Here is a 12,444-nt window from a genome sequence, read left to right as displayed (position 1 = left end):
ATTTGTGATGGGGAACCTGGAACGCGTGGCCTCCGAGTCACCACGGTAGGAAAGAGAAAACTGAGGAAGGCACCACAGCCCCAAGCTGCCTCAGCTCAGACTGGGACATGTCACTTCTGTTCACAGTCCATTGGCCAGAACTAAATGCACTTGTCCAAGCAGTCACAAAAAAGGCTGAGAGACCAAGGGGAGCCCACGGACAATCAGTGCCAAGGCGTGTTCCATGGGTGAGTGTTTCCTTCTGTCCTACTTCTGAAGGTATTTTTTGGGAACTAAATTCATGCTCTTTGGTTCTAGGCAAGTAGAATCAGTCCTTCACAGCTTTTATTTTACCCTGCATATGAGGAGAAAATATAAGTGACTTATTCTGATCATTTTACACACTTACATTGCCAGTGGAAAAACTTCAGAATTAAATCAATACCAGTATCACATTTTGGGAAACTAATTAAGTGGATTGAATGTCTCTTGAAAAAAAGAAGTATCCTAATCTGATATGTGTACATATATTTCATGTTTGTATCATATCATAGATAATTAGAACTGAAATTACCCTAGCATTTGTTTGCTTTTGGATTCTCATCTCAGCTTCTTCCACAAGGATTTCAAGCACACCTTAGAAAAAATTACAGAATACTGCAACAATCAGTTCTTCCTGCTTCCTGTCTCCCACCTGCCAATCCATTCTCTACCCTGACACCGAAGAGATCTTTTAAATGCAAATCTGATCAAGCCCCTCGTACTTAAAAATAAAACAGAAACTTTCTAAGACTTTAGTCTGTCCCCTCAAAATCCCTGTTTTGGCCGCACAGCCTAACCTACCGTTCCAGCCTGTGATAGCTGTGTTTTGTGTCAACTCAGCTAAGCTGGACGTGGGCTTTTCAGACTTTCCTTCCCTGTACAATTCTGGGTCAAGGTTGACTGCAGCAGATAAATTTGCTGCAAGGGAGACTAAGGTGGGACTCATAATATTAAAAGATTTCTAATGAAAAGCTATAGGATGAGAGAACATGAGCATGTCAGACGTCCACTATTAGCATGAACAGAGTATGAGCGATGTGCCAGGTGCCAGACCAAAAACCCTTACACGTATTGCAGTGAGCCACTGAGTGAAGCCTTATTGTTATTCCCATTTTACAGATGTGGAAACTGAGATTTTCTCCGTTATCTGAAATCACCCACTATATGAGAGAGTCAGCATTTGAACCTAGACTGTGGGACTCCACAGCCATGCTTTTTGTCTTAATTATGATTGTATGCTACAGAAGATCCAACAGTTTCTGTGAAATTTTAATTCTCTCTGAAAGAGACACAGAAAGAGCCATCTCTTTTTATATGAATATGATAACTGGAATTTCCAGTCGTCTCTTTACTAGCCTGGGATAAAGACAAACCCCAAAGAGGACAGAGATGATAGAAACTCAAACAAATGAATTATAGTCTGACTGTGCTTGCACATGTGGGTGACCAACATTTCTGTGGCACTCTCCAGTTAGCAAGAGCTGTCCTTGAGGTCAAAGGATCCCATTAGCTGTGCCACCATACAGTCAGGATGGGAGAGGTTTTACTGTGGGAACAATGACCCCCTAACTCTTAAAACAAAAGAAGTTCGTTCCTTGCTCATCTGATAGGCCTCTTGTAAGCTGGCTGTGGCTCTGCTGCAAACTGTCTCTACTCCAAGATGATCTGGAGCTTTGCTAGTCCCTGCAGCAGAAGTAATGAGCAAGGCGGAATGTGCTCTGGCTCCTGAAGATCCCGCCTGGCAGTGACATGTCACTTCTGCTTGCATCTCATTGGCCAAAGCAAGACGCATGGCTACATATGAGTCCACGGCATGAGGAAGTATAATTGTCTCTCTGGAAGGGCCACTACTGTGGGTGTGTAGTCAACCAGTTTACCATGGAGATATTGATTCTTTAGCCACGGGGTCGATGAACAGAGGCTGGGTCGTCAGAACTCTCTAGAGGTCATTTTTTGGTCACAAATAATCTTTTATATTTACTCCCAATATTGTCTTTTTCTGCACCATGAAAGAAAATCAACTGGGAATTGTGACTCTGATTGCCTCACCTGCTTCTCATAAGAATTAGAGAACCATGATACCATTGGTTTGAGGCCAAATCTAGTCAGAAATACAAAGACAGAAGCAGAATTTGGGATTTTAGTCCTCATACCCAAGGTTCTGTGGCTTTAATAAGAGATATATGGAGTAGTTGGTGGAATCTGTGGCCTAGACAGCTGGAGCTCCTGGCCCTTTAGTTCACCCATGGCCCCACGCCTCTTCTTCTGGCTCAGGAAGAGCTAACTAGCTGTTGACAGCTTAGTAGTGGCCACAGAGGCTCAGTGATAACCAGGGAGAGTGTTGAGCACATATACACTCCAGACTGTATTTTTTCTTCTTATTAAGGCTCTGAAGACAAGAACATGACAACATTTTGGCAGCTGGGACTGTAGCCATGTGTGAGGAGAAAGTGATTTGCATGAGCAATGCAAAACCACCTGGTTTATTGCAACTGATTCTGAACAAGTTAAATGAATCAAATTCCCAGTTGGATACTGAAGGAGCTAACTTACATACACACACAGCCCCTGCAAAAAGAAAAAAGAAAAAAAAAACCTAAGAAACAGCACTCCAATGTTACACAAACGCACTACTAAGGAACCTTTGCCCTGTTGCTCTTACCACCCCACATCCCATCCCCACCCACCTCCACCCACGCTCCCCTTGTCTCTTTCCTAGCGAGCCTGTGTGAATCCTCTTACCTTGACAGGTTTATGGTTGGGATTTGTCTCTCCAACTCCACCCCTCCACAGATACCCTCCAGAAGCGTGACCCCAGTGGTACAAAAGAGCTGGAGGAGTGGGATTGTTTGTTCACCCACCAGCAATCAGAACTCCCCACAAACCTGCCTAACTGAAGATTCTTGGGTTCTAACCTGGACGCATTACCAAACTCCCTGCTGAGTCTCCCGCATGCTGGTTTCAAAACCGCTGCCTTAGACTCTCAAATGCTGCTTATGGCATCTGTCAGGCCCTCACATCCCCTCCCAGGGCCCTGCTTTCTCCTCCAGGTACTAAAGCAAAGACATATTTCAGTAATGCATGATTCTTTTTTTTTTTTTGCCAGATGAGCCATTATCAGGTTGTGTACAGGCTGGTACAGGCTGGGAAAGATAAGGCGGTGTGTCCGAGTATTGGAAAAGGGGGCACATGGTAGGAGAAGTCATAAAGAAGACAGTGTGGTATAGGGAGAGAGCACTAAGAGACTGAAAACCTGATTTCAAGGCTGACTCCAGCTACTAATCTTGATAATATCGAGTTGACTTGAGCTGTCCCCCTTCACTCATTCATCGAGCCAACATATATTAAGTGCCTACCATTTGCCAGCATGACACTGGCTGCTAAGGGAAAGAGTAGTTGTGGTAGCCAGCTTTCCAGATGGCCCACAGTGATCCCTGTTTCCTGACATTCACATCCATGTGTGATCCCCTCCCACAATGAATGGGGCTGACCTATGTAACCAATAGGATAGTGCAGAAATCATAGTGTGCGACTTCCGTGACTGGGTCATAAATGACACTGTGGTTTCTGCCTTGCTTTCTCTTGCAGTGCTTACTCCAGGAGAAGCCAGCTTCCATGTTGTGCAGATGCTCAAGCAGTGCTTGGAGAGGCTCCTTGTGGAAAGGAGCCGAGGCCTCTGCTGACAACCAGCACCAGGTGAGTGAGCCTTTTTGGATCCTTCCACCCCAGCTGTGCCTTTGGATAACTGCGTCCCAGCTGACATCTTCCTTGATGTTAAGAGACTCCAATCCAAAGCCATCCAGAAAAGCTGCTTCTAAATTCCTGACTCACAGAAACTGTGAGATAATAAATGTTTATTATCATTATTATTATTTTTTGAAATTTTCCAATGAATTTTATTATCACCAGCATCTTTAAAAATTAAGAGGAATTCTCTGAGAGTATATATAAAAAAGAAATTAAAGGCAAATATTTTGCTGTTAAGGATTTAAAAATAAACAGAAACATAGAGTATAAAATTTTCATTTCACTGTCCCCTCATTTAAAATTATAAGAATATAAGCAAATAACATCCAATGTCAGAAGAGATTCAGGGTGACCATTTGCAGTATTTAATGGCAAATTAGTAGCGTCATGAAAAATTTCAATTCATTTAAAAAAATAGCTTTCATTTAAATAATAATTATGTTTAACTTTATCTCTGTATATAATTAGACTTTCTTTTGGCTTAGACAATTCCATTTTCTCCAACTGGGAGCTGTGAAGGATCAAGTCCTACTTTCTTCATTGATACGGCAATATCAAATAAATAGTCATAACACTCACACATGGTTTTGGCCTTCTCTCATGTTTCCCCCCACACATATACTCCATGACGTCTGACCAGTACTGCACAGGAGTCTGGGTATTCATTCATTGCATGAGCCATTCTATCTTTGAAGTCTTTCTCCTCAGGTGTATTCTCAATAATGGGTGCCACTAACATATCATCATATCTATAATACCCTCCAGAAGTACATTTCTTTATTCCTTTGATCATCTCTTGATGGGTAATTTTAAACTCCCATCCTCGAAAGAGAAGGGTGGCCATCACAGCAGCTTTAGAGTGGGTATGAATCACCGCACCTGCTCCTCTCATTGTGTAAGCATTCATGAGAAGAGGAGTACACTGGCTTTATTTTAGCTTCTTAGATGGCGAAGGTCCACTTATGTCCTTTTCATTTATATCACAAACAAACATGTCTTCAGGCTGAATTCGTTCCTTTTGCACTCCTGAAGGAGCAATGTAGATTTCACCGCCATGCCTCAAGCCAATTCCTCCTCCAGTCCCAGTGACCCAGCGCAAATGGTAAAACTGTTTGCAAAGTTCTGGGATCAGGTATCTTGGATGCTCCTTGTCCTGCGCTCCGCATCTCGGGGAACAACAGTCTCCCTCCCGGGCGTCACAGCCAGACATGGCCCAGACCAGGGACCCACACGGCCTCCAATCTCTGCACGGCTTTGCGCGCGGTGCTCAGCCTGGGATGAGGCAGCCAAATGTTTATTATTTTGAGCTATTCTGTATTGGGGTAATTTGTTAAGCAGTAGCAGATAACTAATACAGTAATGAATGAGGCATATAAGATTCCTACTCTACCCTTATGGAGACTATCAGTCTAGCAGTGTAGGAAGGGGAGGAAGGATAGATAAAAATAATTAAATCTAATAAATAAATAAACAAGTATAAATTGTGGTAAGTGCTGTGAAAGAAACAAGCAGGATGCTGAGCTAAGACAAAATATATGCTGGGTAAGCTCATTTAGATAGGGTGGGCAACGGATGCCCCAAGGAACCCCTTAAGCAGACTCTGAAAAGTGAAAGAGCTTGGAGGAGCCACCTGCACCCAGATACAGAAGCTCCCTTCTAAGGATGACAGAGACTGCCTGCCTTCCCTTCACCACTCATCTGTGACTAATTTTCATTATTCACACTATTTTATTTACAATAAAATTTAACAGACCAGAAGGGGTGGCTCACTCCTGTAATTCCAGCACTTTGGGAGGCCAAGATGGGGGGATCACTTGAGGTGGGGAGTTCAAGACCAGCCTGGGCAACATGGTGAGACACCCCACCCCCCTCACCGTCTCCACAAAAAATTAAAAAATTGGCCGGGTCTCATGTCATGCACCTGTTGTCCTAGCTATTCAGGAGGCTGAAGTGGGAGGATCTCTTGAGCCCAGGAGTCCAAGGTTATAGTGAGCTATGTACGGGGAAAAAAAGTCTTTATGGACTGAAATGTAGCAGATATCACCTGTGCATTCTGCTTCATTCCTTTAAGATGTGCTTCATCGTCACTGGAGCTACATACCATCTTCCAGTTTCTAATCCAGTCTCTTCTTGTTACTCTTCATCATGTATGTGAAGTAGGCCAGGGTCTCCTTTTCATTCCCTGGTATGTTCCTGAAGTGTCAGCTGACAGTGTCTGTTAACTGCACCTTATTGAGGCCTGGCCTGGTCTGCAAATTGTGGTGCCATGTATAACAAGGTAGAGAAATAAACTTCTACCTGATATTTGGGAGTCTCTTGATTGTATAGCTTAACTGATTCTCTACCCAACACAGAGGGACCAGTGCCTCCATGTGGGGTCTTGGAGGCCATGGCTTGGGGCTGGCTCTTTATTCTAACATCAGTGGGGAAATCATTGGATGGTTTTAGGCAGCAAAGCAAAGTGATCTCATTTATTCTTTAAAATGTTCACTCTGGTTATTCCCTGGGTTTGTGCTAAGTCTCAGGTTTCTAATTTATAAAACAGGAGTCTGAGACAGAATTTTCCACCCTGCTTATCCCCACAAAAGTCTCTCCTTTCCAGGCTAAACATTCCAGTTCTTTTAACCAACCTTTATGCAGTTTGGCCTCTTCATGATCTTTGTTATTCTCTGCAAAATTGACATGTGGTCATGTCCTCTGGATTTGGGGTACTTCAAACTCCAGCCCAATGCTCTATCCATGGTATGTCCAACATTGGGCAGAGCAAGGCTGCCAGCCCTCTTGTGAGATCATTTTTGACATGTGTTAACATTTCCGATTTCATTGCAAAATCTCTTTGCTGCTAACCCTGAAGGTGAATTGTATGAAATCATTCTTTGCTACTGTGGAACTGTTTCCCTCTATCAGGCATTCTGTCTACAGTTGGCAACATTAGGACAGAAACACCAGGGGTCCATGCATGACATTGCTTCTGAGATGAGCTTGGGCAGGAGATGGCCTAATTGAGATTTAGGTATCACCCTTGTGAGAGTGTCAAGTTCTTTTGAAAAGTGGCTACACTGACAATCTTTACATTTAGAAACACTGAAGACTTAAATCTTAGTTCCAAAGTAAGTCATCTGAGAATGATGCTGCAGATGGGTCTGAAACCTGATGGGTAGTTCTCATACAAAGGATCAGCTCTGCCTGGAGTTCAGATAAAAGATCACACTAGCTAATTTAGATACAAATGATAACTTTCCAACTGGGGTAACAGATAAGTGCTTCCAGAAACAGCTTCTTTAGGCAACGAAGCCACAAATGGCTGCCTTCAGAGAGAAGGGAGAAATGGTAGAAGACAGAGAAGAATTTAGGTCAGCCAGAATGGGGGCCCAAAAAAGTCAAGTTCAGAAATAATTTAGCAGATAGGGATCCAAAGAATATGTGGTTTGCCTGACAAATGACATTCACTTTGAAAGTGAAAATGAAATTGGAGAAAGCAAAATTGCTGCATAATAGGTCCCGGAGATTGAAAAGATTCTAGAGGAGAAAGGAGCTGTAAAGCCTTCCTAGTTAAGCACAGAATTGGAATGTATGAATTTTGGTCCATCAAGAGTCAGGTGAAGATCACACAGATAATGGCTTAATCCCAACCAGCTCCAAAATGACATTCATTAACAGAGCATCTCAAGCTCTTGACAAGCGTGCCTGACCAGGCTCACGCTGCCTTCTCTCAGCATCGCTCATCCTGGGTAGAACTCTCTAACACAATAAGACCACATAATTTTACAGTTAAGCCTAGGAAAGACGGAAAAAGACTTTTACCCTGACTGTCAAGGGGCCCAGAAAGAGCTAAGGAGGTGTAGGATGGGGGAAAGATGGTGTGCGTCGAAACTGAAGAAGCACTCTGGGGCTGGCAGAGTCTCACCCGTGCAAAATAATGATCCTTGGCCACCTCGCAAAAGGCACATGGACTTCTGCCTAGGGACATCTGGGCTTCATTCCTGCTCTAATGAACGACTCTCTGTGAGATTGTTAGACTACTCACTTCATCTCTGTGAGACTCATTTTATTCACTCCCAGGAGAAGTATAATCATATCTATTGACTTCTTTCTACCTCAGAGAGAAAAAGTTTACACAGTGCTTTCATCAGCATTAGCTTCTCATTTAACCCTCACAATAATTCTGTAATGTGGCATGATTGGCTCCATTTGATGGATGAGGAAACTGAGGCTCAGAGGTGTTAAAGGACGTGCCCAAGGTACAGACCCAAGTGGAAGAACCAAGACTGGAACACAAATAACCTGATTTCAAATATAGGTCTCTTTCTTGGACCCCGTGACCATTTATTGAAGGAGAAAGAAAATGAGTGCTTCTTCTGGGATAGAGAATAGTGTGGTAAACAGCATTGGTTTTGGAATAAGCCAACTTGGGTTCAAATCCCAGCTTTGTCATTTTCTAGTGGCATCACTTGGTCACACAAACCTTAGTGTCCTTGTTTGTAAAATGGGGATCAAAATGGTCTGGTCCTTCAGTCATGAGGTTATTGTGGATTGAATGTCTACAGCATGTTTGGTGAATCACAGAGCAAGTGCTCAATGAATGGAAACTTAGTCTCCTAGCCAGCCGGCCATAGGAATGTGCTGCTTGATGGGAGAGTGATTAGGAGGGATGGCTCTGAAGTCAGATAACATGGGTTTGAATTCTAGTTCTGCCATTTATTAAATGAGTGACATTAAGAAAAGTATTTGACTTCTCTAAGCCTCCATTTTTTCATCTGTAAAATCAGATAAATAACAGTCTATGTCTCATCTTATTGTTGTGAGAATTGAATGAGGTACTTGGAAGAATGCCTGGCACATGGTGGGTACACCAGAATTATTACCTATTATAGTGCTGTTGTCCTGTAACTGTTTATTAATGAACAGGAGGAAGGGCTAGGGCTTTATGAAAGTGAGCTCCAGAAACCAGTATACCACTTCCCCATAAAGTAAGTCCAGAGTGAAACATGGGGCTAGTGGGACATAAAGAGTGTTTTTCAGTTCCCTAGACCTGCAGCCATATTTGCATTTTGGAATCATCTTAATCTCAGTGTTTCTTCTCTCCAGCATGCTTTGCAGTGAATCCTATCTCATCACTCTGTATAATGGCTGCTTGGCATTCTTGCCATCCTCTATGGGTTTTCACTTTCATTTCATTAGTTCATTCACTCATTTATTCCCTTTTTCATACGTACATTCATTTACTCATCTATCTGTTCATTCTTCCATTCCATGGACAGTTCTTATGTATCTCCTAGGTATCAGACCATGTTTCTTGGGAGTGTAGCAATAAATCAGACATGGTCATGCCACCTCAGAGCCTCTAGAGTACTGGGGGACATGAGACATGTGTATAAATCCCAAAGTATGAGGGAGGCGAGGTAAGGGTCACTAGAGAGGGATGGTTAATTTGGAGAAGGACAGGGAGACATAGTTCACAGTCCTCTGGATGGTGAGTCATGAGGGAGGCAGCTTGAGCTGGATTTGGGTGGGAAAAGGAGGCTCCATGTAAAATAGCAGCACAGCCAAAGACTCATGGGCTGAGGAGAGAGGTGAAAGGATGCCCGCCTGGCTGCCTGAGCTCTGAGCCTTGCGGTGGACAGCTCTGTTGTGTGTGTGGGGAGACGGAAGGGAGCCAGTGTGCCAGTGTGCTGTCCGAGTTGCAAGGAGCACAGAGACCAGGAGCCGGATAGACACAGGTTCACATCCCAGCCCCACCTCACACTAGCTAGATGGCTTCGCTTCTTAAGAGTCTTGGTCTTGGCTGATATGGGGATCATACAGCCTTTCTCATGAGAGGGTTAAAGGAACTCAGATTAAATAATATATGTGGAAAAGTACTCCTATAAGACACAGATCTTGCATTGGAATAGAAGGCAGGATCTACTTTTGTTGCCAAATGACAGTTTCATCAGGAATAGTGGTAACAGCAGGCTGTGACACCATCTGAGAGCTGTCTCCCAAACAATCTCATCTTACTTTTCCTGTAGGTAACCGATCTGTCACTCACTCAAGTGCACACCCATGGAAACTCTAAATGGCAGAGTAAGTTCTGGAGATACAAACTGATAGTTTTCCTCTGTGTCCTCTTCTTTCCCATCACCATTTAGGCAGGGAGGAGGCTCTGTGCCTTCTTACCTCAAGGGAAGTTCTTGATAGAATAAAAAGCAGGAGTTGCTTGCAAAATACTTCCCTTTCTGCCTTTTGCTTCCCAAAATCTAAGCTCACTGAGGAGAGGAAGCCTAGTGACCTCAAGGGAGACTGCTACCAAGGGAAACCCTAAAAGAGAGACTAAAGAAAGGATCGATAGAAATCAAGTAGGGGCTGAAAGGTCAGCAGCAGGACCCTAATCCTGGTAGGCATCAGAGGAGAAGGGCTGCCTGGGTTCCAGGCTTGGTAAATAGCACTTTGCCCCAGAAGCAGCCAGAAGCAATGAACCCCAAAGGACCATATGCAGTTGGGCTGTCTTAGGCTGATCTGTATAAACAAATGAATTTGCCCTACTCTGGGAGAAACCCCCAAGAAGACTGAGGCTAAATTCTCTACAGCTTGCAGGAGGGGTGGCTTTAAAATGTGATATTGCTTCCACCTTTGCACATATGAAATGGCATTCATACCGCCTCAGCTATAATATACAGGTTCACACATTTTCAGTCCATTTTACTTGGAGATGTGTTTGGGGATACATTATTTGCATAATCTGTTGAACTACATATTTAATCAAGAGCAAAGTGCTTCGTTCCATATACAATTTTCTTGCCATGACATCACAGCAGGAATAGTCACTGCAATGCACACTTTTGTAAATGTCATCACTGCCTAAAATTTGGATCAATCAGATCATGAAGCAATTCCACCAATCAGACCTCAGCTGGGCTGGCCAGCCACACGCAGAGGCTGCTTTCAGAGTACTCAGACTGGCCTGCCTTGAGGGGTGCTGTGGTACCTCGTCTGCAACTTCAGCCACTTGACTTACCTGTGGCTAGTATGGGGTACCAAAATAATAGCTATCGTCATTATAGAAATGTCTACAATAGGACAAAGGCAGAACATTTAAATCACGATATTCAAAAAGACAGAAGTAGAGACCAAAATGTTGATCTTGCTAGTCTATGACTTTTCTGTAGGTCTGCTTGGCTTTAGCTACTTTTGATCTCTATTTACAAACATAAAGTTCTCTTTGCTTTTCACAAGTCACATCTGGTAGGTGATAAGGATTGAGGTGGTGGTGGTAGTGGTAGTGGTGGAAAACTTGACCGTAATCTGTTCTTTCTTTACCCCATCCCAGAGTTCAATATACAGGTACTCAAACTATATTTTCCAAACTGTATAGAACTTAAAAGAGTGAGTTTCACTGGTGTAATTTAATGACATAGGCCTCCTGCTGCTAAATGCCAGAGATCGCTTCCCAATTTCTATCTCTTTCTCTTTGCAAGACCCTAGAGAACCCTACCTCCCAGTCAATTTCATAATAACAACATAACTTCTATCCTAGCTGGAAATACCTCCTTTTCAGGTTAAAGTTCCTTTACTCTTTATGGTCATTTACTTTACAGCTAACTATTGCAGTCGATCCCACAGCAAACCCAGCCCTTGCTCAGCCCATCTCAGTGACAGAAGGAAAAACACTATGTATGTCAGATCATGGTCTATTGCCTCACATGCCTGAGTCTCAGCTAGATGGATTGTGGGGCCACAAGTGAGTTGCATAATTCAGGTGCCAAGTGGATGTGCTGGGGAAGAGACTGCACAGGGTCTGGAGCAGGTCGAGGCCCTCCATCAAGGTGGAGGTTTCCATGTGTAGTTGGATATATGGGTTTGAAGCTCAAGGGAGAGGACAAGGGAGATATTGATGGGGGAGTGATGATATGGACACAGATACAGTAGAAGCCATGTGAGTAGGTACTGTGACCCAAGAAGTGGGCAAAGAGCAAGAAAAAAAAGGGAATTCAGGATGAATTCCCCAAGAACGCCTGTATTTAAAGAATGAACAGGCCGGGTGTGGTGGCTCACGCCTGTAATCCCAGCACTTTGGGAGGCTGAGGTGGGTGGATCACGAGGTCAGGAGTTTGAGACCAGCTTGACCAACATGGTGAAACCCCGTCTCTACTAAAAATACAAAAATTAGCTGGGCCTGGTGGTGCGTGCCTGTAATCCCAGCTACTCAGGAGGCTGAGGCAGGAGAATCGCTTGAACCCGGGAGGTGGAGGTTGCAGTGAGCCGAAATCAAGCCACTGCACTGCAGCCTGGGCAACAGAGCAAGACTCTGTCTCAAAAAAGAAAAAGAAAAAAGAATGAAAAAGGTGAAAGATCCAGGGAAAACTTCCTGCAAGGGTGAATGTAGAGGGAAGAGTAAAATTCAAGGTGGGTGCAGTTTAGATGACAGAGAAGAGGGTTCTAAGTGAAAAGATATGGCCAAACTTGTGAAACGCTTTAGATATATCAACACAAAGTTGAGTAACTACAAGTTCACTGGGTTTGGCAAATACAAGGTAACTTTAGAGGTGGAGTGATAGAAGAAAGAGGTTGCTGAAATACGTACTATTTCAAGCAGATGATCACAGGTTTCAAGAGTGGAAGGATCAGCTTTGAAAAGAAGCTTTTCTTCCTAAGGGACCACAAGAGAAGAAATAATAATAGATGGAAATATAGTTA

At 43.5% G+C, this 12,444-nt stretch overlaps 1 pseudogene, besides 1 other annotated feature; it reads right to left on the bottom strand.

The window, feature by feature from the left end:
• Positions 3,900–5,055, bottom strand: ACBD7P1 (APIP pseudogene 1; annotated as a pseudogene).
• Positions 8,639–8,778: a silencer, noted in NCBI's record as "silent region_20155". NCBI's record gives its function as "represses an Ori minimal core promoter by ATAC-STARR-seq in GM12878 lymphoblastoid cells {active_cell/tissue: GM12878}" and the evidence as "EXISTENCE:reporter gene assay evidence [ECO:0000049][PMID:35858748]".

The sequence above is a fragment of the Homo sapiens genome, chromosome 9 (assembly GCF_000001405.40).
Source record: "Homo sapiens chromosome 9, GRCh38.p14 Primary Assembly".
Lineage (NCBI taxonomy): Eukaryota > Metazoa > Chordata > Mammalia > Primates > Hominidae > Homo > Homo sapiens.
Note: the sequence above shows the minus strand (reverse complement) of the source record. Positions and strands in the feature narration are given on the sequence as shown.